This window comes from Homo sapiens, chromosome 15 (assembly GCF_000001405.40).
Source record: "Homo sapiens chromosome 15, GRCh38.p14 Primary Assembly".
Classification (NCBI taxonomy): domain Eukaryota; kingdom Metazoa; phylum Chordata; class Mammalia; order Primates; family Hominidae; genus Homo; species Homo sapiens.
The window spans coordinates 46,607,484-46,634,898 of record NC_000015.10 but is presented as its reverse complement, the minus strand read 5'-3'; the positions used below and the strand labels follow the sequence as shown (position 1 = coordinate 46,634,898).

General features: G+C 37.1%; 1 long non-coding RNA gene across 2 annotated transcripts in view; it reads right to left on the bottom strand.

Moving 5' to 3' along the window:
- The window catches only part of LOC105370803 (uncharacterized), a 31,061-nt gene extending 3,912 nt beyond the window's left edge, over positions 1–27,149 (bottom strand). For both annotated transcript variants that reach the window (XR_932193.3, XR_932194.3), the window contains exons 1-2: positions 26,832–27,149; positions 26,421–26,666 (exon numbers count right to left, since the gene is read on the bottom strand). This is a non-coding gene — a long non-coding RNA (uncharacterized LOC105370803). The remainder of the gene's footprint in view (positions 1–26,420; positions 26,667–26,831) is intronic.
- Between the last annotated feature and the right edge of the window lie 266 nt (positions 27,150–27,415).

Sequence of the window (27,415 nt, the reverse complement as noted above, 5' to 3'; positions counted from 1 at the left end):
CTGCGTGTTGCCTGTTACGTGCACTTACATTCTTAGAGAGCTGTAGTCGTGGCTGCAATCCTGTTCCTTCCTGTGACTCTGGCTCCATTTCTGAATGGACTTGTTAAAACTTTAGTAAACTTTATTTCACTTCTGAGACACCAACTACCTCAGTCCTAGAAGGAGGTGTGGTAGACATCATCCAAGATTCCCCCCTCCCCACCACCACCAAATGCAGGCATTTTGCACAGCATTGACACCCTGCCCTGGATGCCTTAGAGATGACTTCCTGAGGATTAAAAACTAAAACATTAAAAGTCCCTCCTGAAAAGCATACACAGGTTAGAGACACTAGCAGCCTGATTGACCCCACCAATAATATCCTCAAAACTTCATGGTCAAACTACTGATCTTCCTGAGGTGGGTAAATTCTAAGGAAAATAATTTTGGTATATATTTCAAAAATTTTAAATGTGAGATTAACTGTGATTTTTACAGAAATCCTAATCTACTTAATTATTTTGCTTTCCTAAAAGCTGTGCACATTTTTAAGGAGTATGTAATTTATCACAGCTAACATAATTTCGCATCATATATATGTGTATATTCCTTCTATGTATATCCAATTTTTATATGTAGTATATATACTATTTATATTCTGCATATCAAATTTGCATTTTTGTTTTAACTCTGTTGATTTGTCATATACCCTAGTGACATAAATGAATTAATAGCTCCAAAAAATGGTTGTTGAAGCATAAAACAGTGATGGAGATAAAAACACAAACAACGGCCCCTTCTGAATGGCCTTGTTAGTAGAAATAATAAATGGGACTTCATTTGTAAAACAGAATGTGAACGGATGTGTTCTCGGAAATTGGATCTTTAAGTATAATGAAGTCAGCCAAAGAAATGTAGAACTCTAAAATACATCATTATTTAAAAATTGGATTCTGTTGGGCCATGGAACAATTTTCTCTCACTTCACAATGAATTAGCTGTTAACAAAATTTAACAAATGAGAACATAAAGTTATTGAATTTTCAAATAATTACAAAATGTTTTTCAATATATAATTAAAAAGGCTTTTTAGTATAAAGTTGTTGATGTTTTGCCACTGAAGAAAGACAAGAGCACAAACTAAGGAAGCATTATCCAGAATTACACTGTTCAGAGTAAAAAACAGATACAAATGATGGTTACACTATTGGTGAAAAGGCTACAAAACCAATAGCAAATTAAAAAGAAATATTATACCAGAAAAAATAATAAGCTACTGATAAAATTTATTTATGAAATGATACTGTTGGATCTCAAAGATAAAAATATGTCAGGAAAATATTAAAACATGTCTATATTGGCATGTGGGGGTGTGGGGGTTATGCCTGTGTGCACGCACATGTGTGTCTGTTGTCTGTGTATGTGTATGCCAAGACAGTTAATACTACAATTGAATAGAATTACTAATTCTGTGTGTTTTCAGCACATGTATTTGACAGGTAGGAAAAAAAAATGCCTAGTGATTCCTGTTCTATTTTTCACAAAACTCATGAGAATCAGAAGAAAGATTTTTGTTTTCAGAGTAATTAATGATTATCTTCTGAGGTGTGGTATAGACTGTAGCAGGCATCTTTGGGACATGGTAAGAGACCTTTAGCTGTGTGTGAAGCAAGAAAAATATGTGACACAGGAAAAGAGGGTGTCTACAAAGTCAGTCCAAACATTATTCATTACAATAGAATAGACGGTGATCAATAATATTCCCTGATCCATTGTCCTAGAATGGCACTGACCCAAAGAACTTTCTTCAGTGATAGAAATGTTCTCTATTTGCTCTGTCCAACATGGTGCCCCTAAAGACATGTGGCTATTGAGCATTTGAAATGCAACTGGTGCAACTGAGAAATTCTATTTTTAAACTTTAATTTAAATTTAACTATTAACATATATCTAAGGACTACAGTACTAGCACATTTCTCTGAAATAGTAAACATATTTGAGTATGATGAAATAACAACTATAGTGAGTTCATCTTTTCATATGCAATGTGAGGAAATGCGCTTCAAGTCAAAGACTGCTTTCCTCATAAGTTCCCTTGCTCTCTGAGGGGGAAAGATTTGAGTTCATGCATTAATAAAGTTAAAAACACATCTTTATTACACTGATGATACCAGTAGATAGCATTTGTATGACTTTAGATGGTCTGAATAGTATGACACTAAAAATTCAAGAGAAAAGATGATGATTTTTAAATTGAGGGTAGGGCACCAAGTTTCCTTTAGAAATCCAAACAGTGGTATCAATGGCTTCCTTGTGAAGGATTTAACTTTTTTCTTAATACATATTTTCACTTTTGGGGGATAGAAATTGGCGATAGATTATTGAGTTTATTATTTATCACCCAAACAACTAGAGTAGATTAGCAAACCAATTGCTCTGTGGTCTAAGTTGAAACATTTGAGGTCAAACTTTATAGTGTGATACACTTATTTATTTTACATCTGATGTAGCTCTGAAAATAGTCTTTAATGAGATATATTAGTTTTTGTCTCATAATATCTATGTGCATATTTGAAATTAATGTACATAGCTGATGAAGCTGTAAATAGTTGCTCCTATTTCCACACAATATATAATAGAAAGTCAGAGGGTTTTAACTCAATAGAAAGTCAGAGGGTTTTACCTCAATAGAAACCCACTACATGTAGAATGTGGCCACTTGGCTACATTGTCCATCACTGAGCCACATATACATTGTAATAAAGCCTTAGAATGAATAGGATATCTGGCATAGATATGAAATAAGTAATATTCTTTTTAACAATCAAAATAATGTTTACTGAGTAATTATTTTTAAAGCCATTATTATTTTAAACTTATTTAACTAAAATGTGATAACCTATAATTGCACTAGTCACCCACTAAGTGGTTATTGGATTGCCAAAAATTTGAGAAACACTGCTTTATAACATATTTAGAAACATAAGCAGAACTAAGATTTACTGTGGATTTTTTAAACCTGCGTATTTTCCTGTATCTGCCATTTCAGGAAACAGCCAGAAATCTCACAGTTAACTTAAACACCTCTTCTGCCCATGTGTCCCATATTGTCAACAGCCGTGTTCTACCAATTTTATTCAAAATCATTCCTTCATGCTCCATTTTCTCCAGCTTGACAACTGCACCTTGATTCAGGTATTTAGTTTCTCCCACTTGAATTGCAACAATGGCCTTCTAACTGGCTTCTCAGTCCTCATTCTCTTTTCTTTAAAATCTTTTCTCCATAATATCACTACGTTTCTACTTAAAATTTGTTTGCTGTTTCTCAGCACTGTTTAAAATACTACTGTGGTTCGGTGAAACCCCGTCTCTACTAAAAATACAAAAACTTAGCCAGGGTGGTGGCGGGCACCTGTAGTCCCAGGTACTTGGGAGGCTGAGACAGGAGAATGGCGTGAACCCAGGAGGTGGAGCTTGCAGTGAGCCGAGATCGCGCCACTGCACTCCAGCCTGGGCCACAGAGCGAGACTCCATCTCAAACAAACAAACAAACAAACAAACAAAAAACACTACTGTGGTTTTCTCCATGTTAGCAATAAGCACTGAGAAATGAAAGTGGTGAAAATATTCCCTTTACAATCATAACAAAAGTATAAAATGCTTAGGAATAAATTCAACAAGAAAGGTATAGAAACTGAGTAAATCTGATTGAAAGAATATGAACAAAGAAAAAATTGAAATAGCATACCATGTTTTCAGATGGAAAAGATTAATAGAATAAAAATGTCAGTCTTCCTAATATTAATAAATAAATGTACTTCAAGTCCAATTAAAATATTTATGGGGATTAGGATTTAAATTTGGTTTTGGAACTTGACAAAAGTCTCTTAAGTTGATGAGAAAGAATTATGCCAATAAAAGCAAAAGCAATAATAGTGAATAAGAGTTTAATAAATATTAAAACACATTGTAAATATTCTGTGACATAAAGTTGGATGCTGACATAGAAACCAGTGAGATCTAATAAAAAATGCAGACACAAATCACAATTCATGTGAAAATTTAATGTATGATAAGCGTGATATTTTCAAAAGTGCTTCCACAATGGACGGTACGTCTGAAAAGAAAAGAAAGTTGGAATGCTACCTTGAACTATAAGTAAAAGAAAAAATTCAGATAAATTGAGAACTTGAAAAAGACAACTGAAAAGAAGCTCTGAGACTGTATGTACAAAAATTGAGAAAGGAGAAGACCTTTATCAAGACAGAAAATTAAGAAACTATAAAAGCTATAAAATGATAATATTTTTCTACAAAATGATATAAACTAGTGTATGACAAATATTTACTATATAAAATCCTAGTTAAATTATACACATTTGAATTATACATGACAGAGAAAATAGTAATATTTAACATGAGACCACTTAAAAATTCACATGAAAAACTAATGAAAACAAGCAAAACTCACAAAATAGTAAACCCAAATAACCAATAAATGTGTCCCTAAACCAACCAGTAGTCAGATAAATGAAAAGTATGATGCCAATAAAATTTTACATATAGTTCAATTGGCACAAATTAAGGCAATAATCGGTGTTGCTTGTTGGAATATGGGAAAAATAACCTTCTCTTAATTTGCTGGTGAACATATGACAGTCTTTGAAGAAATAATTTAGCAACAAAACCTACTAAATTTGAAAATACACATACCTTTCAACCCAGCAACTCTGCTTCTGGGACCTATCTCATAAAATTAAAACAGCTTGGCAAAATATGTATACAAGGTCTTTATTCCAGCAGTTTTCACTGTGACATAAAACTGGAAGCAAAGACCACCATTAGTAGAAGAATGGTTGAATAAATTATGGTAAATCCGCATGATGGAATATTCTGAAGCCATTAAGAAGAATTAATTAAAGCTACATGAGTTAACTCGAAAGGATCTTTGTGAAGTCTAGCAGAGAAATTGTACAATTGGATCTAGTTCTTTTAATTGACCAGACGAACTTGAATAGATGATGAATAGATGGATTTAGAAATGAATGTAGAATTATAAAAAGGTGAATGTATTTTTATACATGATTATTTCAGCAAGTATAAAATTCCAGAAAAATACACACCAGTTGGTTAGACATGTCAACTTATTTAGTAGAAGAAAAGGTGTGAGTTGGTTGATTGTTTATTGAATAAGTTAATAAGTAAACTAAAGGTGGAAGAAAATGAGAGAGTTTAGATAGATACCTATATAAAGATGTAGATATCAATAATTATCTGTTCTAAATCAATGACAACATGAGGATAACTTCTGACCTATAAATGACATCTCATTGGTAAGTTAAAAATTGAATACAAGTAATACATATAAAAGGAGTATATTATATTTTAAAAAAAAGAAAAACAGAAAAAAATCCTATGATGACACTCAAACAAGAAAAAATCCAAATGGCTTACTATGCCATATAAAGTCATTTAATAAAAGGGCCTGTTTCTCAAAATTCTCTCCTGCAATATCCCCTGTCATTTATTACACATGCCAATAAGTCCTGAAACACTTCTATAACACACAAGCACACAAAGACACAAGCACACAAAATATATGTCATTTTGTTTATGCCTTTGATTATTTTATACATTATTGATCCTCATGTCTAGAATTGTGGCTGGAATAAGATATTCAATAAATGCTTATTGAATAAGTTAGTAAAAGAATTAGTGAATAAATGGATGAATGCTGTATTCTCGGCCAGAAACATCCTTCGTCTATTTCTCCATTTGGTTAATTCTTACACCTTTTTAAATTTTAGCTTATGTATCATCTCTTCCAGGGATTCTTTCCTGAACTTTCTTGAGGATTCCCTTCATATTATTTACCAGCACTTAGACATTAGAGTGCTATTATCAGGTTTCATGTTTATTTCTCCCACTAGATATAAAGCAATTAAAAGTCAGTGTCTGGAAGTGAATTCATTTTTGGTTCCTTATATCTAGCACAATGCTGGTCATATAACAAATGTCCAATTAATATGTTCAACTAAAGTTATAAACTGAAGAAAGTAGCAGATTTCTGGCTTTACAATTGTAAATATATTTCCATTATCTTCTCCTTTCAACATATACCTCAAAACAAACAAATGTGCAACATAATACTTGACATAAAAACAAAATAAATTACAGATGAAAAATTTCCAGAACTTATGCAGTTTCCCAGAACTCAACATTCAAGAGGCCAACCAACTAATCACATAACTATTTTTCAAACAGTCAGTTTCAAACAAATATTTTTGTTTCAGGGGGTATATATGTGCAGGTTTCTTACATGGGTAAATTGGTGCCATGGGAGTTTGGTGTACAGATTATTTTGTCACCCAGATAATAGGCATAGAACCCAATAGGTAGTTTTTCAATCCTCACCCTTGTGCCACCTGCCATCCTGAAGTAGACATTCGTGTCTATTCTTCCATTCTTTGTATCTATATGTTCGCAATTTTATTAGTCTGTTCTCACACTGCTAATAAAGACATACCTGAGACTGGGTAATTTATAAAAGGAAGAGGTTTAATTGACTCACAGTTCAGCATGGCTGGGAAGGCCTCAGGAAACTTAAAATCGTGGTGGAAAGGGAAGCAAACATGTTCTTCTTAACGTGGTGGCAGCAAGGAGAAGTGGCAAGAAAAAGGGTAAAATGCCTCTTATAAAACCATCAGATCTCATGAGAACTCACTATCATGAGAACAGCGTGAAAGTAACTGCCACCATGATTCAATTACCTCCCACTTGGTCCCTCCTGTGACACATGGGGATCATGGGAACTACAATTCAAGATAGCATTTGTGTGGTGACGTGGCCAAACCATATAATTTCATCTCTGGTTACCTCCAAAATCTCATGTCCTCACATTTCAAAACACAAGCATACATTCCCAACAGTCCCACAAAGTCTTAACTCATTCCAGCATTAACCCAAAAGTCCAAGTCCAGAGCCTCATCTGAAACAGAACAAGTCCCTTCTGCCTATGAGTCTGCAAAATCTAAAGCAAGTTAGTTACTTCCTAGACAAAATAGGGTCTTGTTCTACAAGACACTTGTTCCAAATGGGAGAAATTGGCCAAAACAAAGGGGCCACAGGGCCCATGCAAGTGCAGAATCCAATAGGGCAGTTATTAAACCTTAAAGTTCCAAAATGATCTCCTTTGTCTCCGTGTCTCACATCCAGGTCATGCTGATGCAAGAGGTGGGCTCCCATTGCCTTGGGAAGCTCTGACCCTGTGGCTTTGCAGGATTCAGCCCCCCTCCCAGCTGCTTTTATGGGCTGGCACTGAGTGTCTGTGGCTTTTTCAGGATTACGATGCAAGCTGTCAGTGGACTTACCATGCTGGGGTTTGGAGGATGGTGGCCCTCTTCTCACAGCTCCAGTAGGCAGTGCCCCAGAGGAGACTCTGTATGGGGGCTCTGACCCCACATTTTCCTTCCACATTTCCCTAGTAGAGGTTCTCCATGAGGGCTCTACCCCTGCAGCAAACTTCTGCCTGGACATCCAGGAGTTTTTATATATCCTCTGAAATCTAGGTGGAGTCTCCCAAACCTCAGTTCTGGACTTCTATGCACCTGCAGGCCCAACATCATTTGTAATCCACCAAGGCTTGGAGCTTGCACCCTCTGAAGCAACAGCCTGAGCTATATACCTTGGCCCTTTTTAGCCATGGCTGGAGCTAAAACACCTGGGATGCAGGGTACCAGTTCCTAAGGCTGCATAGAACTGGGGTGCCCTGGGTCCAGCCCACAAAGCCATTTTTCCCTCCGAGGCTTTCACACCTGTGATGGGAGGAGCAGCCACAAAGGTCTCTGACTTGCTCTGGAGACATTTTCCCATTAGCTTGGAAATGACCATTTGGCTTCTTATTACTTATGTGAATTTCTGCAGCCAGCTTGAATTTCTCCCAAGAAAATGGGTTTTTGTTTTCTATCACATCATTTGGCTGTAAATTTTCTGAACTTTTATGCTCTGCTTCATCTTGAATACTTTGCTGCTTAGAAATTTCTTCTGCCCAATACCCTAAATCATGTCTCTCAACTTCAAAGTTCCACATATCTCTAGAGCAGGGATAAAATGCCACCAGTCTCTCTGCAAAAGCATAACAAGAGTCACCTTTACTCCAGTTCCCAACAAGTTCCTTATCTCCATCTGAGACCACTTCAGCCTGGACTTTATTGTCCATATCACTATCAGCATTTTGGTCAAAGCCATTCAACAAGTCTCTAGGAAGTTTCTAACATTTTCCCACATTTTCCTGTCTTCTGAGCCCTCCAAGGCTCTAGGAAATTCCAGACTTTCCCACATTTGTCCTCTTCTGAGACCTCCAGACTTTTTCAACCTCTGCCTATTTCCGAGTTCCAAAGTTGTTTCTACATTTTTGGGTATCTTTACAGCAGCATCCACTACCTGGTACCAATTTACTATATTAATCCATTCTCATGCTACTAATAATGACATACTTGAGACTGGATAATTTATAAAGGAAAGAGGTTTAATTGACTCACAGTTTAGCATGGCTGGGGAGGTCTCAGGAAACTTACAATCATGGTGGAAGGGGAAGAAAACATGTCCTTCTTCACATGGCAGCAGCAAGTAGAAGTGGTGAGAAAAAGCAGGGAAAGCCCCTTGTAAAACCATCAGATCTCATGAGAACTCACTATCATGAGAACAGCATCAGGATAACTGCCCTTATGATTCAGTTACCTCCCACAGGGTCCTTCCCATGACACATGGGGATTATGGGAACTACAAGTTGAGATTTGGGTGGGGACACAGCCAAACCATATCATCAATGTTTAGCTCCCATTTATAACTGAGAATGTGGTATTTGGTTTTCTGTTCCCATGCTTACAATAATAATGTGCTTAAAATAATGGCCCACAGCTGCATCCATGTTGCTGCAAAAGACATAATTTCTTTCTTTTGTATGGCTGTGTAGTATTCAATGATGCATATATGCCACATTTTCTTTAGACCACCACTGATGGGCATCAAGGTTGCTTCCATGACTTTGCTATTGTGAATAGTGCTGCGACAAACATATAGGTGCATGTGTCTTTGTGTTAGAACAATTCATATTTCTTTAGGTAGATACCCAGTAATGGGATTGCTGGGTTAAATGGTAGTTGTGTTTCCAGTTCTTAGAGAAATCTCCAAACTGCTTTCCACAGTAACTAAATTAATTTACCTTCCTACCGGCAGCGTATGTGTTCCCTTTTCTCTGCAACCTCACCAGCATTTGTTATTTTTTGACTTTTTTATCATAGCCATTCTGACTGGTGTGCAATGATGTCTCATTATGGTTTTGATTTGTATTTCTCTAATTAGTGATGTTGAGCATTTTTTCATATGCTTGTTAGCTGTGTGTATGTTCCCTTTTGAAAAGTGTCTGTTCATGTACTTTGCCCATTTCTTAATGGGATTGTTTTTTGCTTATTAATTTTTTTAAGTTTCTTCTAGATTCTGGACAGTAGACATGTGTTGGATGCATAGTTTGCAAATATTTTCTCCCATTTCTAAGTTTTCTGTTTACTCTGTTGGTCATGTCCTTTGTTGTGTAGAAGTTTTTAAGTTTAATTAGGTCCCACTTACCAATTTTTGTTTTGATTGCAATTGCCTTTGGAGACTTTGTCATGAAATCTTTGCCAAGTCTTATGTATAGAATGGTATTTCCTAGGTTTTCTTCTAAGGTTTTTACAGTTTTGAGTTTAACATTTAAGTCTTTAATCTATCTTGAGTTGGCTTTTGTATACGTTGAAAGAAATTAGTCCACTTTTGATCTTCTGCATATGGCTAGCCAGTTATCCCAGCAACATTTATTAAATAGTGAGTCCTTTTCCCTATTTTTGTTCATTTATATTTGTCAATTTTGTTGATGATAAGATGGATGTAAGTGTGCAGCTGTACTTCTGGGTTTTCTAACCTGTTCATTGGTCTATGTATCTGTTTTGTACCAATACTATACTGTTTTGGTTACTGTCGCCTTGTAGTGTAGTTTGAAGTCAGGAAGTGTGATGCCTTTGGTTTTGTTCCTTTGCTTAGGATTGCTTTGGCTATTCAGGCTCTTTATTGGTTCCTTGTGAATTTTATAATAGTTTCCTTTTTCTAGTTCTGTGAAAAACAACATTGGCAGTTTGATAAGAATAGCCTTGAGTCTATAAACTGCTTTGGGCAGTACAGCCATTTTGACAACATTGATTCTTCCTACCCATTAGCATGGAATGTTTTTTCTGTTTGCTGGTATTGTCTGATTTTTTTCAGCATTGTTTTGCACTTCTTGGTGTACAGGCCTTTCACCTCTCTAGTTAGTTGTATTCCTAGGTATTGTATTTTCCTTGTGGCTATTGTGCTTGCATTCTTGATTTAGCTTTCAGCTTGGACATTATTGGTGTATAGAAATGCTACTGATTTTTGTACATTGATTTTGTATCCTAAAACTTTGTCAAAGTTGTTTATCAGCTCTAGGAGCCTTTGGGCGGAGACTATGAGCTTTATGAAATTTTAGAATGTCAAGGATAAGAAGAAGATCCTAGAAATCTTTTTCTTCCCTGAAAGAAGAAATTAAAATATCACATAAAAAAGGATCAGGAATTAAAATTACTTTGGTCTCTGTCAGAGAAAAATGAAAAACAAAATATTATAGATGGGGAGTGCTGTAAAGATAAATTTTAGTGCCAATTGAACTACCAGTCATGGAAGAAAGTAAAATAAAGTTATTTCAAGACATGAAAAGTGTCTCAAAAATTTACCTTTTCAAAGGAAATTACTAAAGGATATTCTATAAACAAATAAATAAAAAAGCTAAGAGGAGGAGAGCATGAAATAGGGAACAGAAGATCAAAACTCATTAGAGAAAAAAGAAGCCTTGAGAGCAATTAGTTTGAATTGTTTGGGTGAGGCTGCTGAGGGAATGAAACTGACAAATAATTAGATAGTTTGATGATATAGACAATTGTTCTGACCTATGAGAAGCTATGGGAGGATGTTGCCATAATTTGAAAAAAATTCAGGAAACTGACATTAGCAAACCAAAGCCAGTAATACAAAGTAGAATGATATATCATGACCAAGGGGATTTTATCTTAGGAATAAAAGGTGGGCTGAAGATTCAAAAAGTCAATCCATTAATATTTAATACTTTAATAATTTGATCTTATTTAATTAACCATATAAACAGGCTAAAACAGAAAATATATAATTATCTCAATAGATCTAGAAAACAATTTGAGAAAATGCAACACACATTTCTGATAAAAAATCTGAAGAAACTAACAAAAATAGAATAGTTTCTCAATAAAGGATATTTGAGAAAAATCTACAACTAATATTATACCTAAGGCTTTCCCTTTAAGATTGGGACAAAGGGGTTGGGTAAGGCATTGTTGTTTTCTTTATAGAAACCTTTTACAGTTTTCTTTTAAAACTTTGAGTTACTTTGTACATGTATCAAAAATACTACTTTGAGAAACATGAAATTTAATTAAAATAATGTTGTGATTGATGAACATAAAGAAATACACCAAAGGAAGTGAGCTGTATTTTGCCTACATTTCAAAATGTTTCTGAGTCTAAGTTATTTTTGATCCAGGATTACAATTTCAATATTGACTCCTCGCATTTAAGCACTACGTATTAATAAATCCTGGTCTCCTACAAACCTCCAAGAAATCTAAGAAAAGCAAGTGAATTCCCCAAAACAGGATGTGAGTCCACATGAAATGATCAGATAAAAGGCTAAACCAAAGCCTATGCCTACACAGAGGGTCTAATCTGGTTAGTGGAAAAAGATGTGAAAAATGAGGTTGCTAAAACAACATAGGAAAATAAACCTGTTCTTCCCAAGCTGTCGCTTTGGAATGGAACTGACAGGCTGATTCACACTATGTTGCTTTGATGGATTACAGTTTCATGGATTATTCTCCTCAGGAACATGTGCATTTTAACAAGCAAAAACCAGAAGTAAAGTAATAAAGATAGGATTTCAGGCACATACGCAGGCTTTTGGAAGAAACTGTCAGGGGCTTAAGGGTTTATTGGAATCCCCCAGATTAAACAAGTAGGTAGAGATCTACCTGGCCTGTGCATCTGCATCTTACAGAAAGTGTCTGAACTAGGTGTGAAAACAGAGAAACAGTCCACTTATTTCCTATGGTCCAGCTACTAGAATTTCACCCCACTGTGAAATCCATTATAACCAAGAGTTCATTTTTAATTTCAACTTGTAAATTACTTCTATAAGGGAAATGTTATAAGAGGCAAGTGATATATTTTGAGAGTAACTGAAAAATCTCAAGATCTAAAATTTCCAACATCTGCAATCAAGTTTTACTTTATTTAATCCATGCAGAACAAGGTATTTGCAGTGTAATACAGGTAATTTCATTCATAATCATGAACTGTGTATTTAAGTAATCAGTTCTATGCATAATTATTCATTTTGGATGAAAAGCTGTGCCTAGCTTTTCTGGGGATATGTGCACATTTTTTTCAATTTCAAAACCAATCATAAATGCTTTAAAACTTTGTTCCAGACTGATTTATGCCCATCAATAAGACATGTTGAGTGAGTATAAAATTGGTTCTTCGAAGCCAATGGCATGGGAGGGGATAGTTTTTATGGAAGTGTGGCTTTACTGTCTATAGTACCCACAGCCTATAACCATTAATGTGGCTAAATTAACAATAATGTCCATTCGTTCTGTGGATCAATAACTCATCTGCATTATTGGCAAGCCTCAGGATCCTACAAAGTACTTCCTATCCACCCCAAAAGTGTCTGGGCATCTCCAGACTGTGTCCACCTATGTCCAACAATGTGAGTACAGCTTCTGCTGCTCCTGGGAGTTCCTTCTGGTGGTTGGACATTTACCCCTTTTGCCAAACCCTGAAATATCCTCTGGAGCTCGGTCACACAGGATCCTGCTATTCCTTTGAAAAAAACACTAAGTGCCCTGAGTATTGAACCCTCAGGACATCTTAAAACAGCAGACATCTAAAAAGTCAAAATGATGCTACCTTCTTTCAGTATTCACTGCCCTGGAGCCATGCTGCATTCTGTGAAGAACAGGCAGGTCACTGCCATTTTCTGAGACTGTGGTCAAAGCCACACTCCTTCTTGGCTCAAGTAAGGATGGCCCTCATTTTGCACCTAATACACCGTACTGCCCCTCAGACCCATGCTTCCTCTTGGGCTTTTTTTCTGAGCTTTTTCTGTAATAACTATTACCATTCTTCCAACTACTGAAGTTCAAATTCTTTGAAATCTCTCTGTTTAAATTCTCACATAAAATCATTCAAAAGGTGCCATTGATTGTCATTTGCATAGCCCTTCCAACTTATCATGGACTCATATGTTTACTTATTAAAAGCATATTTTTTAAAAAGGCAACGTGTTAAACACTGTGTTAGGAATTTAGATTCAAATTCAAATAAGATAGAACAATAGATAAATAACTGCAATATGGTGTGACAATACTTCATTTAGGCCCTTATTATTTCTCACTTGCTCTATTTTAAAATTCTTGTAATTAGTTCTCAAACATCTAGACTTTCTCCACTTCAATCCAAATTGCTCCAAGCAAGCAAATAATTTTCTTAAAGACTGGTTCTAAACCTATTCAACATTTTCCTTCTTAACAAGCCTGGGAGTATCTACATTGTCTCTTTAATAAAGTCCTAAGTCATTTGATCAGCATTCAGAAACCACAAAATTCAAACCACCTTGCCAAACTTTTATTCATTCATTTTTCTACAAGTAACCTTTGTTCTAGGTAACCTGGACAAGTAAGCATTACCCTAAATATTTTGCCTTTTCTTTTTTCTTTCATTTCTTGATTACAGTGCTGTTGTTTCTTGCTTAGAATGCACTTTCTTCCTGCTCCTTTTAGAGATCCCATGTCTATTGAATGGGGGTTACCTTATTCTGAACTATGACATCACTTTGCTTGTCATCCCATACTTAATACATATTATTTTATATTTTGTTTATGTCCACCTCTCATCTCTCCCAATAGAACAGACATTCTTTTAAAAAAAAAAAAGACTTAGCACTTATTCATCTTTGATTTCACATGCCACACAGTATATAAACCACATCACATACTCAATTTGTTGATTGCATGAAAAACTATTTTATTAGAAATAAAGCCTTTGATTTATAGCAAAGGTGACTGAATGGAAATGTTTGTCATGTAAATCTTATTATCTACTGACTTCCATTAGGTAATTAAAAATATGTTTCCATGGGAGAAAAAAACTGTAATACACTTAGGAAGCAACTGGTCAGAAATGTGACTAGCTCCCTGAATTACCAAGTATTGCACACAAAAGACATATTAAATCTAGAGGCTATTAGCTAGTTACTTTCATTTCTTGACACCTCTTTCTATTATAGTTTCTTGAATAAGTGAATAATTAAATGAAAGACAGCCTCCATTCCATTCTAGAAGCCTGTTTCTGTAAACTGTTACCTAACTGAAGTATCTTACCATTATTATCTAATGTGAGACAACACTGAAAGGTCTCATATGATCCAGAGCTCCAGCAGGTTGGCTAACTCTTTCTAGTCTGCACTTGAGTTTGATTTCCCCCTCTGCCCAAGCCTGTTTCCTCCCTTTCCCTTGCACAAGTAGGGAGGTCTGGTAAACCTCCAGTGCCTTATTAATTTATTTAACATAATACATATTAATACAGCTTATTTCCCTTCAACAATTGATACTAAAAATATCAAAATGTAAGATGGGATTTGGAAGCTACTTCATTTGCTGCCAGCTGACAGTGAAAACCTCATCACTGGTTATAAGTGAGGCATAGATAGGTTCTGGTGCCAAGTGGCTATCCAGTTTACTTAAACTTGCACCAGGTAATAGGGTTACCTATTCATATGGCTTAGTCATGCTCTCAAGATTGGCTTGTGCTCATTCTCAGTGACACCATTTCCATCTAACAATGGATGGACACCTGCAGCTTTATTAGGTCGGTTGGATACAAAGACCCAAAGGGACAGAGCTGATTGCACCATAGTCTGGACCTACTATAGCACCTCTTATTACCCATAGCTCTACTCAAAATTAGCAACCTCTATGTTACTCAGATTATGGGCTGTAATAGCATTCCTAGATGTAAAACATATTGCCTGCAGAGCCCAATAAGGCCTTTCCAGCACTGTGCTTCTTTATTTATGGTAAAGAATGCTAGATAGAGCACTTTGCCTTTTATTTTGTTGGAAATATGTTAGCACACTGCTTACCACAGGGCTATATGTTTCACTGAAGCTGTAAGAACCTGAAATTTCATAGGGTTTATCTTCCAACCTCTGGAGATCATGTGTCTTACGTCGGTCTCTAGTATATTAGCAATCAGTTGCTTATCCTACCCAGTGAGTTTTCTGTCATTGACATAATGGGTCAATGTGATATTACACAGGATATGCAGACAGTTCACATCTCTTTAGGCAGTGTAATAACAACAAGAAACAGAGAGTTTAAGCAATGTTATGGCAGTCAAGATCTCTTTAGACATTATGACAAAAGGAAACAAAACTGCAAATGAATATCAATATCCATTCTACTTATACGCAAGCTGTTCTCATCCTCTTTTCTAATCTGAATAGCAAAGATGCATTTGCTAAATCAGTGGGCATATACCACCTACCTGAGGGCTTGTTAACCAAGAAATGTACCACTTCCGGCATAGCAGCTGCTGCAGAGCTACAACTTGTTTGTGTTTGCAGTATTAGAACAAGCCAAGAACTGTCTGTAGTGGTTATTTTAAATTACAAATATATTAACCTCAGTTATACTCTTGGGGACTAGGCAATAACCACTGGGTGACTCTGCAAACAAAGTGAACCCACTATAAGCTAGATATATCCATGATTCCATCTGTTACTTGATTCCCCATTAGAGCCTCTAATGTTTGTTAGGTTTTTTTTGTTCTTTTTTACTGAGACATAGTCTTACTCTGTCACCTAGGCTAGAATGCAGTGGTGTGATCTCGGCTAACTGCAACCTCTGCCTCCTGGGTTCAAGCGATTCTCTTTCCTCAGCCTCCCGAGTATCTGGAACTACAGACACCCGCCACCACGCCCAGCTATTTTTTGTATATTTAGTAGAGACGGGGTTTCACCATGTTGGCCAGGCTGGTTTTGAACTTCTGACTCAGGTGATCCACCAACCTCAGCCTCCCAAAGTGCTGGGATTATGGGCATGAGCCACCGTGCCTGGCCTCCAGTCACTCTTTAAATGTCTAGGCAACCCCCATTCCATAAGTGAAGTCACCTTTGGTATTACTATTAGTGCAATTATGCTGGGACAAACAAACAAAAAACAAAACAATGACAACAAAACTCTGTTTTATATTATGGCCTTAAAATGTCATTATGTTGCCGTCACACTTACGCTTTCCATAGGGAATACCATTCCTGATTGTCAATTATTTTTCTCTTTTGCTTTAAAGTTTTGATTGACATCGCTAAAAACTGGCTCTATATCTTATTGTTGCTTATTTGAGGTCCCTTTTCACTTGTTAATTTAAAAATATTCTCTTTTGTCTTTATTTTTTAGCAGTCTGACTATGATTGCCTGGATGTGGTTTCTTTGAATTTCTTAAGCTTGATATGCTTCTAAGATACCTTTCAGAAATACAGGGCATATTAATTCCTTCCAGCAGACCCCCCCAATATGTAGGTCATCTTGGGAGATAGCCCATTTGAAGAGCGTCACTATGGCCAAGGTTATATCACTTTCCCATGGAGGTCCACATCCAATAACCTATATGAGTATGTATGGAGAGGTCTGAAAGCCCATTCTGTCTTCATTTCCCCCTTCCTCACACATACAGGGTTGGCTGAGGCATCTCACAGAGACTACATATCAAAGCTCAACTTCTATCCCTACCCAATTCTGCTTCTTTTCTTTCACTTCCCCACATAAGAATCCCAAAAGGACTCCCAAATAAACCTCCTGCAAGTATAGCAGAGAACCTAACCTTCAATAGTTAGTATGCAGAATATTCTGCAAAAGCTGAAGGTATGATGTGATTTTGGAGCTGGATCACCTACTGTCTGGTTATCAATAAGGAATTCATCTCTTGTGGTAGGTAGAGCAAAGATAGCCCCTGGAACAAGATGGTATTCCAATTATGTTAAAATGTTCACCAGCAGTCAACTAGAATGCTATATCAGCAAAAAGAAATGCTGTTTCCTCTGTGATATATCAGGTAATTGAGAAATAGTGGGATAAACAGTCACTGATAGACAATGGACTAGCTGTCTATTCCTTAACTAGATTGATGCTTTGAAAAAAATAAAGGCTAAATATGACAAATCAGTAATTAAAAGCTAATTCTGAAAGCAGTCATCCCAAATCTGTCTCTATTTCCCCTTCAAGATATTACAACTATAACTTGGTTTAAAGTTGCGGTATAATCCAGCTGGAGATGTGCTGGGCCTCATACAGGAGGAAAGGAAGTGTTCGACAAAGCAACGGCGGGACTTCAGCAGGACACCTGCAGGAGCCAGGAGAGTGTCATGATCCTGGATTCTGAAGGTGCTTTGGTTAAAGGGCAATGAAAAATAAAGTCAGAAAAGGGAGAGTTTATTGATTTTCTACCACTCTCCTGGGATAGAGGACTTAATACCCAGGCAAGGATGTCAGAGATGATATAGCCATATTGCTAGGCTAGGTTCTCGAAGTATCAAAAAAGGTGACATTCCACACAAACTGAACTAGAAATTCTAGAATTGGTATGGAAGATGGTAGAAAAAAAACATTTTCAGGCTGAGAGAGAATGGCATGCTCTGGGAGATACAATGTGGAATGTAAGAAATCCCATCAGAGGACTGTGCTTCAAAGAAGGGCCTGGAGAATACAACATTTACCAAAGCAATATAGAATACACCAGATTGTTCCATATCTGCATAGGATATAGAAAGCCAAAAGAAAATGTTGCCTCTATCCTAACAACCAGGAGAAGTTGGGTAATACACAAAATCATAACATTTTCTGAGTCCATCAGAGAATATGATGACAAGGAAGACTAAATTTCAAAGGTCGACGAGCCCCTGTGAGGAGAGACAGGACTCATGCATTCTTTTGCCTTTGTCAGAACGAGGGGAGGAAAAGTAAGAGCCATAAAAGTAAATGAGCAAAAAACAACTAATACATTAACTAACTCTTCAAGGTTGAGTGTGGCCTAGCATTCCTGAGAACCTCAGAAATAGTGGTGGCTCAACTGTAGGTTCTTTTCCCTGTGTCTTAACAGGATTCTCATGAAAAAGATCGAGGACAAGGTCCAGAGAGAGTACCCTTTAGTGATGGAAACCTGTAGGAGATAACTGGCTGCCACTGAAAGACCAGCATAAAGAGCTATTGCTTCTGGAATTGCATAGAAGCAAAGTATGTCTGCCTCTAGGAGAGGGATAAAGACTTTCCCACTATCAAGTCACACCAAAGATCCATTGCCTTTGGATGAATAATATAAGAAAAAATACTCTGATCCTGACTGAGGAGCAGAAAACTCAGGATTCAAGCGGCTACAAAGCTGAGGTCTGCTTAGGCTGGAGAGAGCCAGAAAATGCTCTCCTGTACCACACCCACCACAGATACAGTGCAGAGCAGAATTAGCCATGGGAAGGAGAAGCGAAGACACTATGAAACCCTAACCCACAAGACTTGGTTGCATAGGGCTGGCAAAAGACTGAGGTTGAACCAGGAGAACAGAGAACACCAGAGACCACAGCCACTATGAGTACAGTGCCAAGTAAAAAATTACAGCAGTCTCCTTTTGTGTACGAAGCAATAGTATGGGCAGACTCTAATGTCCGTATATAGAAGGGCTAATGAGATTTAAGGTGGCTGACAGCTGGTGACACCATAGGCTGCATTCTAAAACAAAGGATAACAGCAATCCACCACTGTCATGCATGAACGTGTTGATAGGAGCAACAAAGCCCAAACCCAGGTCAAGTCCACCACCACACACAAATGTCCTAATGGCCCGTTTCCTTGTGTAAATAGCCTTTACCTCAGACTCTGATGTTCCTTTATGTACAACATGAAACATTTAATAAAAAACTATGAGACTCACAAAAAATCAAGAAGAAAAAAATATGTTGTGACCAAATAAAGCATAAGAAAATACTCAGAGATGACCCTGGTATGGTATCTAGGAGACAGAGACTTAAAAACAAAAACTATGATTAATGTGTTAAAGTAATTCATGGAGTAGGTGGACACATGCATAATAAGATGCAGAATTTCAACACACACAGAGAAATTACAAGAGGGACAAATGAAAATATAGCAATAAAAATATTATCAAAGATAAATAATTCTCTCAGTGTGCAGAAGTAACACTGGAGGTATCTGATAAAAAAATCATTTGAACTTGAAGATAGATCAATACAAATCATCTATTTCTCTCAACTCGTCAAAGTCATTCTCCGTCCAGCTTTGTTCTGTTGCTGGTGAGGAACTGCGTTCCTTTGGAGGAGGAGAGGCGCTCTGGCTTTTAGAGTTCCCAGTTTTTCTGCTCTGTTTTTTCCCCATCTTTGTGGTTTTATCTACTTTTGGTCTTTGATGATGGTGATGTACAGATGGGTTTTTGGTGTGGATGTCCTTTCTGTTTGTTAGTTTTCCTTCTAACAGACAGGACCCTCAGCTGCAGGTCTGCTGGAGTTTGCTAGAGGTCCACTCCAGACCCTGTTTGCCTGGGTATCAGCAGCAGTGTCTGCAGAACCATGGATTTTTGTGATCCGCGAATGCTGCTGTCTGATCGTTCCTCTGGAAGTTTTGTCTCAGAGGAGTACCCGGCCGTGTGAGGTGTCAGTCTGCCCCTACTGGGGGGTGCCTCCCAGTTAGGCTGCTCGGGGGTCAGGGGTCAGAGACCCACATGAGGAGGCAGTCTGCCAGTTCTCAGATCTCCAGCTGCATGCTGGGAGAACCACTGCTCTCCTCAAAGCTGTCAGACAGGGACATTTAAGTCTGCAGAGGTTACTGCTGTCTTTTTGTTTGTCTGTGCCCTGCCCCCAGAGGTGGAGCCTACAGAGGTAGGCAGGCCTCCTTGAGCTGTGGTGGGCTCCACCCAGTTCGAGCTTCCCAGCTGCTTTGTTTACCTAAGCGAGCCTGGGAAATGGCGGGTGCCCCTCCCCCAGCCTCACTGCCCCCTTGCAGTTTGATCTCAGACTGCTGTGCTAGCAATCAGCGAGACTCCGTGGGCATAGGACCCTCCGAGCCAGGTGTGGGATATAATCTCCTGGTGCGCCATTTCCTAAGCCCATTGGAAAAGCGCAGTATTCCGGTGGGAGTGGCCCGATTTTCCAGGTGCCATCTGTCACCCCTTTCCTTGACCAGGAAAGGGAACTCCCTGACCCCTTGCGCTTCCTGAGTGAGGCAGTGCCTCACCCTGCTTCGGCTGGCGCACGGTGCACTGCACCCACTGTCCTGCGCCCACTGTCTGGCACTCCCTACTGAGATGAACCCGGTACCTCAGATGGAAATGCAGAAATCACCTGTCTTCTGTATCACTCACACTGGGAGCTGTAGACCAGAGCTGTTCCTATTAGGCCATCTTGGATACAAACAAATGGAAGAACATTCCATGCTCATGGGTAGGAAGAATCAATATCGTGAAAATGGCCATACTTCCCAAGGTAATTTATAGATTCAATGCCATCCCCATCAAGCTACCAATGACTTTCTTCACAGAATTGGAGAAAACTACTTTAAAGTTCATATGGAACCAAAAAAGAGCCCGCATCGCCAAGTCAATCCTAAGCCAAAAGAACAAAGCCGGAGGCATCACGCTACCTGACTTCAAACTATACTACAAGGCTACAGTAACCAAAACAGCATGGTACTGGTACCAAAACAGAGAGATAGATCAATGGAACAGAACAGAGCCCTCAGAAATAATGCCGCATATCTACAACTATCTGATCTTTGACAAACCTGAGAAAAACAAGCAATGGAGAAAGGATTCCCTATTTAATAAATGGTGCTGGGAAAACTGGCTAGCCATATGTAGAAAGCTGAAACTGGATCCCTTCTTTACACCTTATACAAAAATCAATTCAAGATGGATTAAAGACTTACATGTTAGACCTAAAACCATAAAACCCTAGAAGAAAACCTAGGCATTACCATTCAGGACATAGGCATGGGCAAGGACTTCATATCTAAAACACCAAAAGCAATGGCAACAAAAGCCAGAATTGACAAATGGGATCTAATTAAACTAAAGAGCTTCTGCACAGCAAAAGAAACTACCATCAGAGTGAACAGGCAACCTACAAAATGGGAGAAAATTTTCATAACCTACTCATCTGACAAAGGGCTAATATCCAGAGTCTACAATGAACTCAAACAAATTTACAAGAAAAAAACAAACAACCCCATCAAATAGTGGGCAAAGGATATGAACAGACACTTCTCAAAAGAAGACATTTATGCAGCCAAAAAACACATGAAAAAATGCTCAGCATCACAGGCCATCAGAGAAATGCAAATCAAAACCACAACGAGATACCATCTCACACCAGTTAGAATGGCAATCACTAAAAAGTCAGGAAACAACAGGTGCTGGAGAGGATGTGGAGAAATAGGAACACTTTTACACTGTTGGTGGGACTGTAAACTAGTTCAACCATTGTGGAAGTCAGTGTGGCGATTCCTCAGGGATCTAGAACTAGAAATACCATTTGACCCAGCCTTCCCATTACTGGGTATATACTCAAAGGACTATAAATCATGCTGCTATAAAGACACATGCACACGTATGTTTATTGTGGCATTATTCACAATAGCAAAGACTTGGAACCAACCCAAATGTCCAACAGTGATAGACTGGATTAAGAAAATGTGGCACATATACACCATGGAATACTATGCAGCCATAAAAAATGATGAGTTCATGTCCTTTGTAGGGACGTGGATGAAATTGGAAATCATCATTCTCAGTAAACTATCTCAAGGACAAAAAACCAAACACCGCATGTTCTCACTCATAGATGGGAATTGAACAATGAGAACACTTGGACACAGGAAGGGGAACATCACACTCTGGGGACTGTTGTGGGGTGGGGGGAGGGGGGAGGGATAGCATTAGGAGATATACCTAATGCTAAATGACGAGTTAATGGGTGCAGCACACCAGCATGGCACATGTATACATATGTAACTAACCTGCACATTGTGCACATGTACCCTAAAACTTAAAGTATAATAATAATAAAAAAAATTAAAAAAATAAAAAATAAAAATAAAAATCATCTAAATGGAAACACAAAGGGAAATAGTGGAAAAGAGTATTCAGTAGCTGTTGTACAATATCAAATAGTTTAATCTATGTGTAACTAAAGTTGCAGAACAAGAATAGAGAATAGGGCAGAAAAATATTTTAAAATATAATGACCAATTAAAAAAGAAAAAACTCTACATGTCCAAGAAATCCAGGGAATCCCAAGGATAAAAAACCTGAAACACACATACACACTCATGCATATCATAATCAAACAGCTGAAAAGCAGAAATAGAAAAAAATATTTAGGGCAACCAGGTAAAAAGAAACACACATACAGAAGGGTAAAAGTAAAAATTATAGCACACCTTTCAGAATTTTTGAAAAACATGGAGTTATATCTTAAATATTGCAGAATTTAAAAGCAAACAAACACTGTTAACCCAGAATTAAACATTTGGGCAGCATAAAGACAAAATAAAGACTTTTTTTATTGAAACAGAAGATGAGACATTTCACCACAGCAGACAAGAAATGCTGAAGAAAGCTTTTCAGAGACAAGTTGTATGATACCAAATGAAAATAAATTAGGATCTATACCAAGAAATGAAGAATGCCGCAAATAGTGAAAGTAAGAAAATAAACCTAAAAGATAGTTTCTTTATATTTAATAACTGTAAAAAATAAGTGACTATACTAATGATGTATTTTGGTAATCATATTTAGTTGTAAAATTTATGTTAACAGTAACAAACAAATGAAGACAAGCTATTCTACATGCTTTATATTTCACATGGCATAATATTATTGAAGATAGGCTGGGATAAGTTAAAAATGTGACTATAACCTCTAAAGCAGCAAATAAAAAGAAAGACTATAATTACTAAGCCTAGTGGAGATAAAATGGAAAAATTGATAATATTCTATCCAAAATCAGGCAGGAAAAAAGTGGGATAAAATGAACAAAGAACAGATGGGACAAATAAAAAACAACAACAGGAATATGGTAAACTTATCAGTAATGAATTCAATGTAAATGACTAACCTTTATTTGAAATACAAAGAATGGCAGACTGGATACAAATAAAAGTAGGACAAAACTACATGCTATCTACAATAAATGTATTTTAAATAGAGAGAAAGTAAGGTCTGAAAAATGAAGTAATGTAAAACCACTGATTAAAGACACTTTGACTCTATTAAAATCAGAGAAAGTAAACTTCAAAGAAAGAAATATTACCAGGGATACAGAGGGCATCACAAAATGATAAAAGTGTTAATTCATTGAGAAGACACACATAGAAGTCCTAAATATATCTGCCTCTAATAACATATATTTAAAATGCACAAAACAAAAATCAGTAGAACTGAAAGGAAGAACAGGCAAATTCACAATTATAGCTGAAAATTTCAGCATCTCTTTCAATCAGTTAAAGAATAAAAACTCCAGAAAATCAGCAGAGACACAGAGGACTCAAACCACCCTATCAACCAAACTGACATAATTGGTATTCATAGAAAATCCTACACAATAGCAAAATTCATGTTTTTTATAAGTGCATAAGGAATATGCCTCAAGAGTGACTCATATTCTGCATCAGAAAACAAGTCTTAATAATTTTAAAATAATTGAAGTCATATATCCCTGTTAGGCTCTTTGACATAACAGAATTAAACTAGAAATTGATTACAAAAAAGAGATTTGGAAAATGTCTAAATAGTTGATAATTAACACAAGCACAAATGACAATTCTAAGCCATTTGTACTTTTCTTAGAATTGCGTAAATTCTAAGACAGTTGTGTTGAATTAAAAAAGAAATTAGAAGGGAAGTTAGAAAATATTTGGAATGCGGCCGAGCGCAGTGGCTCATGCCTATAATCCCAGCACTTTGGGAGGCCGACGCAGGCGGATGATGAGGTCAGGAGATCGAGACCGTCTTGGCTAACATGGTGAAACCCCGTCTCTACTAAAATACAAAAAATTAGCCAGGCCATGGTGGCGCGTGCCTAAAATCCCAGCTACTTGGGAGGCTGAGGCAGGGAAATTGCTTGAACCCGGGAGGCGGAGGTTGCAGTGAGCTGAGATGGTGCCACTGCACTCCAGCCTGGTGACAGAGCAAGACTCCATCTCAAGAAAAGAAAATATTTGATATGCAATAAAGATAAAAATACACATATCAATATTTGGAAGATACAGCTAAAATGCATTCAGATAAAAATTTATAGTATTAAATGCTTATATTAAAAAATAAGACTATTTGACATCAGTAATCTAAGTTTCTATTATAATAAAATAGAGTAAATTAGACTCAATAAGCAATGGGAAGAAAATAAAAGCAGAAATCAGTGAACAGACACACACGCGCGCGCACACACACACACACACACACACACACAGAAAGAGAGACTGAGACTGTCAGTGAAAGAAAGAAAAATTCCAGCCAGAGAGACAGAGTGATTGGAAAAAAATAAGATATGAATTACCGATATTATGAGTGAAAGGACTCATTAAAGATCCTACAAATTAAAAGGATATTAATGGAATATTTAAAAATTTATGCCTATAAATTTAACAGCTTAGATTAGTTAGAGAAATTCATTGAAAGATACAAAATCACCAGTGTTCATTCAGGAAAAATAGATATCCTGTGTAGCCCTGTATCAAAGACAATGTGTGATTAAAATTGTCTCCACAAAGAGCATTTCACTGGTAAACTTTATTAAAACACTTAAGGAACAAATAATACCATTTCTAAATGAGCTCTTCTAGAAGAGAAAACAGCAGGGAATCTTTTTGACATAGTATACAAAGCCTGCATTACCCTGACACTGAAACCAGACAGATTTGTAAGTAATAAAATTCACTGTATCATTAATAAATAGGCATAAAACAATCCTTACCAAAATAAAAGAAAATCTAGTTATGACTAAAAATATGATCAAGTATGATGTATCCTATGATTGCAACATTGTTTTTACATTTGAAAAATCAAGCCATGCAAAGCACTGTATTGGCAGATTTCAAAAGAAAAACAAAGTCATACAATTGCCTAAATAGATATAGAAAAAAATGTACAGAAAAAAATTGTATACAGAAACAACTGTAAAATTCTACATCCATTCATGAAAAAAATTCTTATCAAATGAGTACTAGAGGGAACATCATATGTTTCACTTGGTTTCCTGTGTTAAACTGTGAATACTAAATTCAGGAGTCAGTAAATATCCAAAGATGAAATTACATAGTTAAATGTGGGCTGCTTTCTCTTTGGTTCCTTTTTCTCTGTGATCTTGATTCTCAAGTTCTAGCTTAAGTGTCCGTTTTTGTCTCCTCAGCCCAGAGTGACTGTCCCAAGCTTTAGGTCACTCCTGTCTGGCTTCTATAGAGCTGGTTGTATATTGGCAAATGTTATGAAAAGAAAAAGAGTGAAGGCAAGTTACAGCATTCACATCACCTCCACACATAGCCCCACCATGCCCGCATCTCTCCAGGATATCCTCCCCTCAAGCCCTCACTACCTCCTTTGCTCTGTTATGCCTCCAAATATCTGTTTTCTAAATTTATTCCACATTTACAGGTTGTTTTTTTCTCAGTAGAGAGGTTAGTTTAATACAAGTTACTTACTCCATCATAGTTGGAAACAGAACTCTGTCTTTACTTACATTTATAGTCTCCTATTTTTAGACATACAGGCTTATTTCATATTCTTTTTTTTTTTTTTTTTTTTTTTTTTGAGACGGAGTCTCGCTCTGTCGCCCAGGCTGGAGTGCAGTGGCGGGATCTCGGCTCACTGCAAGCTCCGCCTCCCGGGTTCACGCCATTCTCCCGCCTCAGCCTCCCAAGTAGCTGGGACTACAGGCGCCCGCCACTACGCCCGGCTAATTTTTTGTATTTTTAGTAGAGACGGGGTTTCACCGTTTTAGCCGGGATGGTCTCGATCTCCTGACCTCGTGATCCGCCCGCCTCGGCCTCCCAAAGTGCTGGGATTACAGGCGTGAGCCACCGCGCCCGGCCGCTTATTTTATATTCTGTTTAATAATTTCAATATTCATACTTTTAGGGGGCCTAATTTTCATATTGTTGTTTTGTTTTGTTTTTGACTGCTCTCTTTTGATCATGGAGACCTACCCTGACCAACCCCCAGACTACCCATTTAATATTTTCTTACTATAAGCTTGCCTTCCTTTGAGATGTAGGCTGAGGGTTGTCTACTCCACAAATGGTTGGCATTTACTTCCACCATACATCTGGAGCACTACTATGTTAGGAAGATTTGAGATTAAAATCCTTGTATCTTAAACCAGCTTTTGCTGGTTTAAGTGTAAATTTGGTAGCTAGTGTAAATTTGGTGTACAAATCTATGTGAGAGTTTGTTGTAGTTGTAGGTTTCCAAAGCAATTTTTTTTTCTTTCCTCTGCAAAAAAAAAAAAAAAATGGTTTGAGACAAGGGATTTTTCTAAATGGTTTCCTGGGAAGAAAAGCAGTCTGGTTTATTTCTAGATGACCTTATGCCAAAATACACCCATTGGAAGTTCTAGCCTAACGCCAAGATAGAGTGATGTTGTTTTAGATATCCTACCTGAAGTTGGTCCTGGGCATTGTCTCATGTCTTCTGGGAGACTGTGAAAGCCCAATACTAAGTTCATTTAGACTTGGTAAGTGTCTTCAGGGTGAAACTCAAATTCATTTTCCTCTTTATCCCTCTAGGTTCTCAGGTTTACTGAGTTTTTGATTGCTTACATTCTTTTTTCTTATTGCCATCCCTTTACTATATTTTTTAAAAGAGAGTTTAAAATACTTTTTCCATGATGTTTAGTTGTTTTTAAGGGAAGAGTTGGGAAGAATCTGTAGACCTCTTGACTTCAAGAAACAGATGTATATAGTGATTTTCACGTATATTACTTTAGTTGATTGTCATGATTATCTATGTATAGATGTCATTAATGACATCACACAGGTAAGGACACTGTCATCCAAAGAGAGTGACTTACCCTCAATCCACTCTCAGAACACAACAGGGCTTTTCTTCAAATCAGATTTTCTGACACTAGACCCCACGTTCTTTTCATGAGACCTTACCGCATATTGTTGTACCTCATATTGTTTGGCCTCTAAAGGTACATTTGCTCAATACTTGGAAAAATAACCAAATTTCTACCCTGG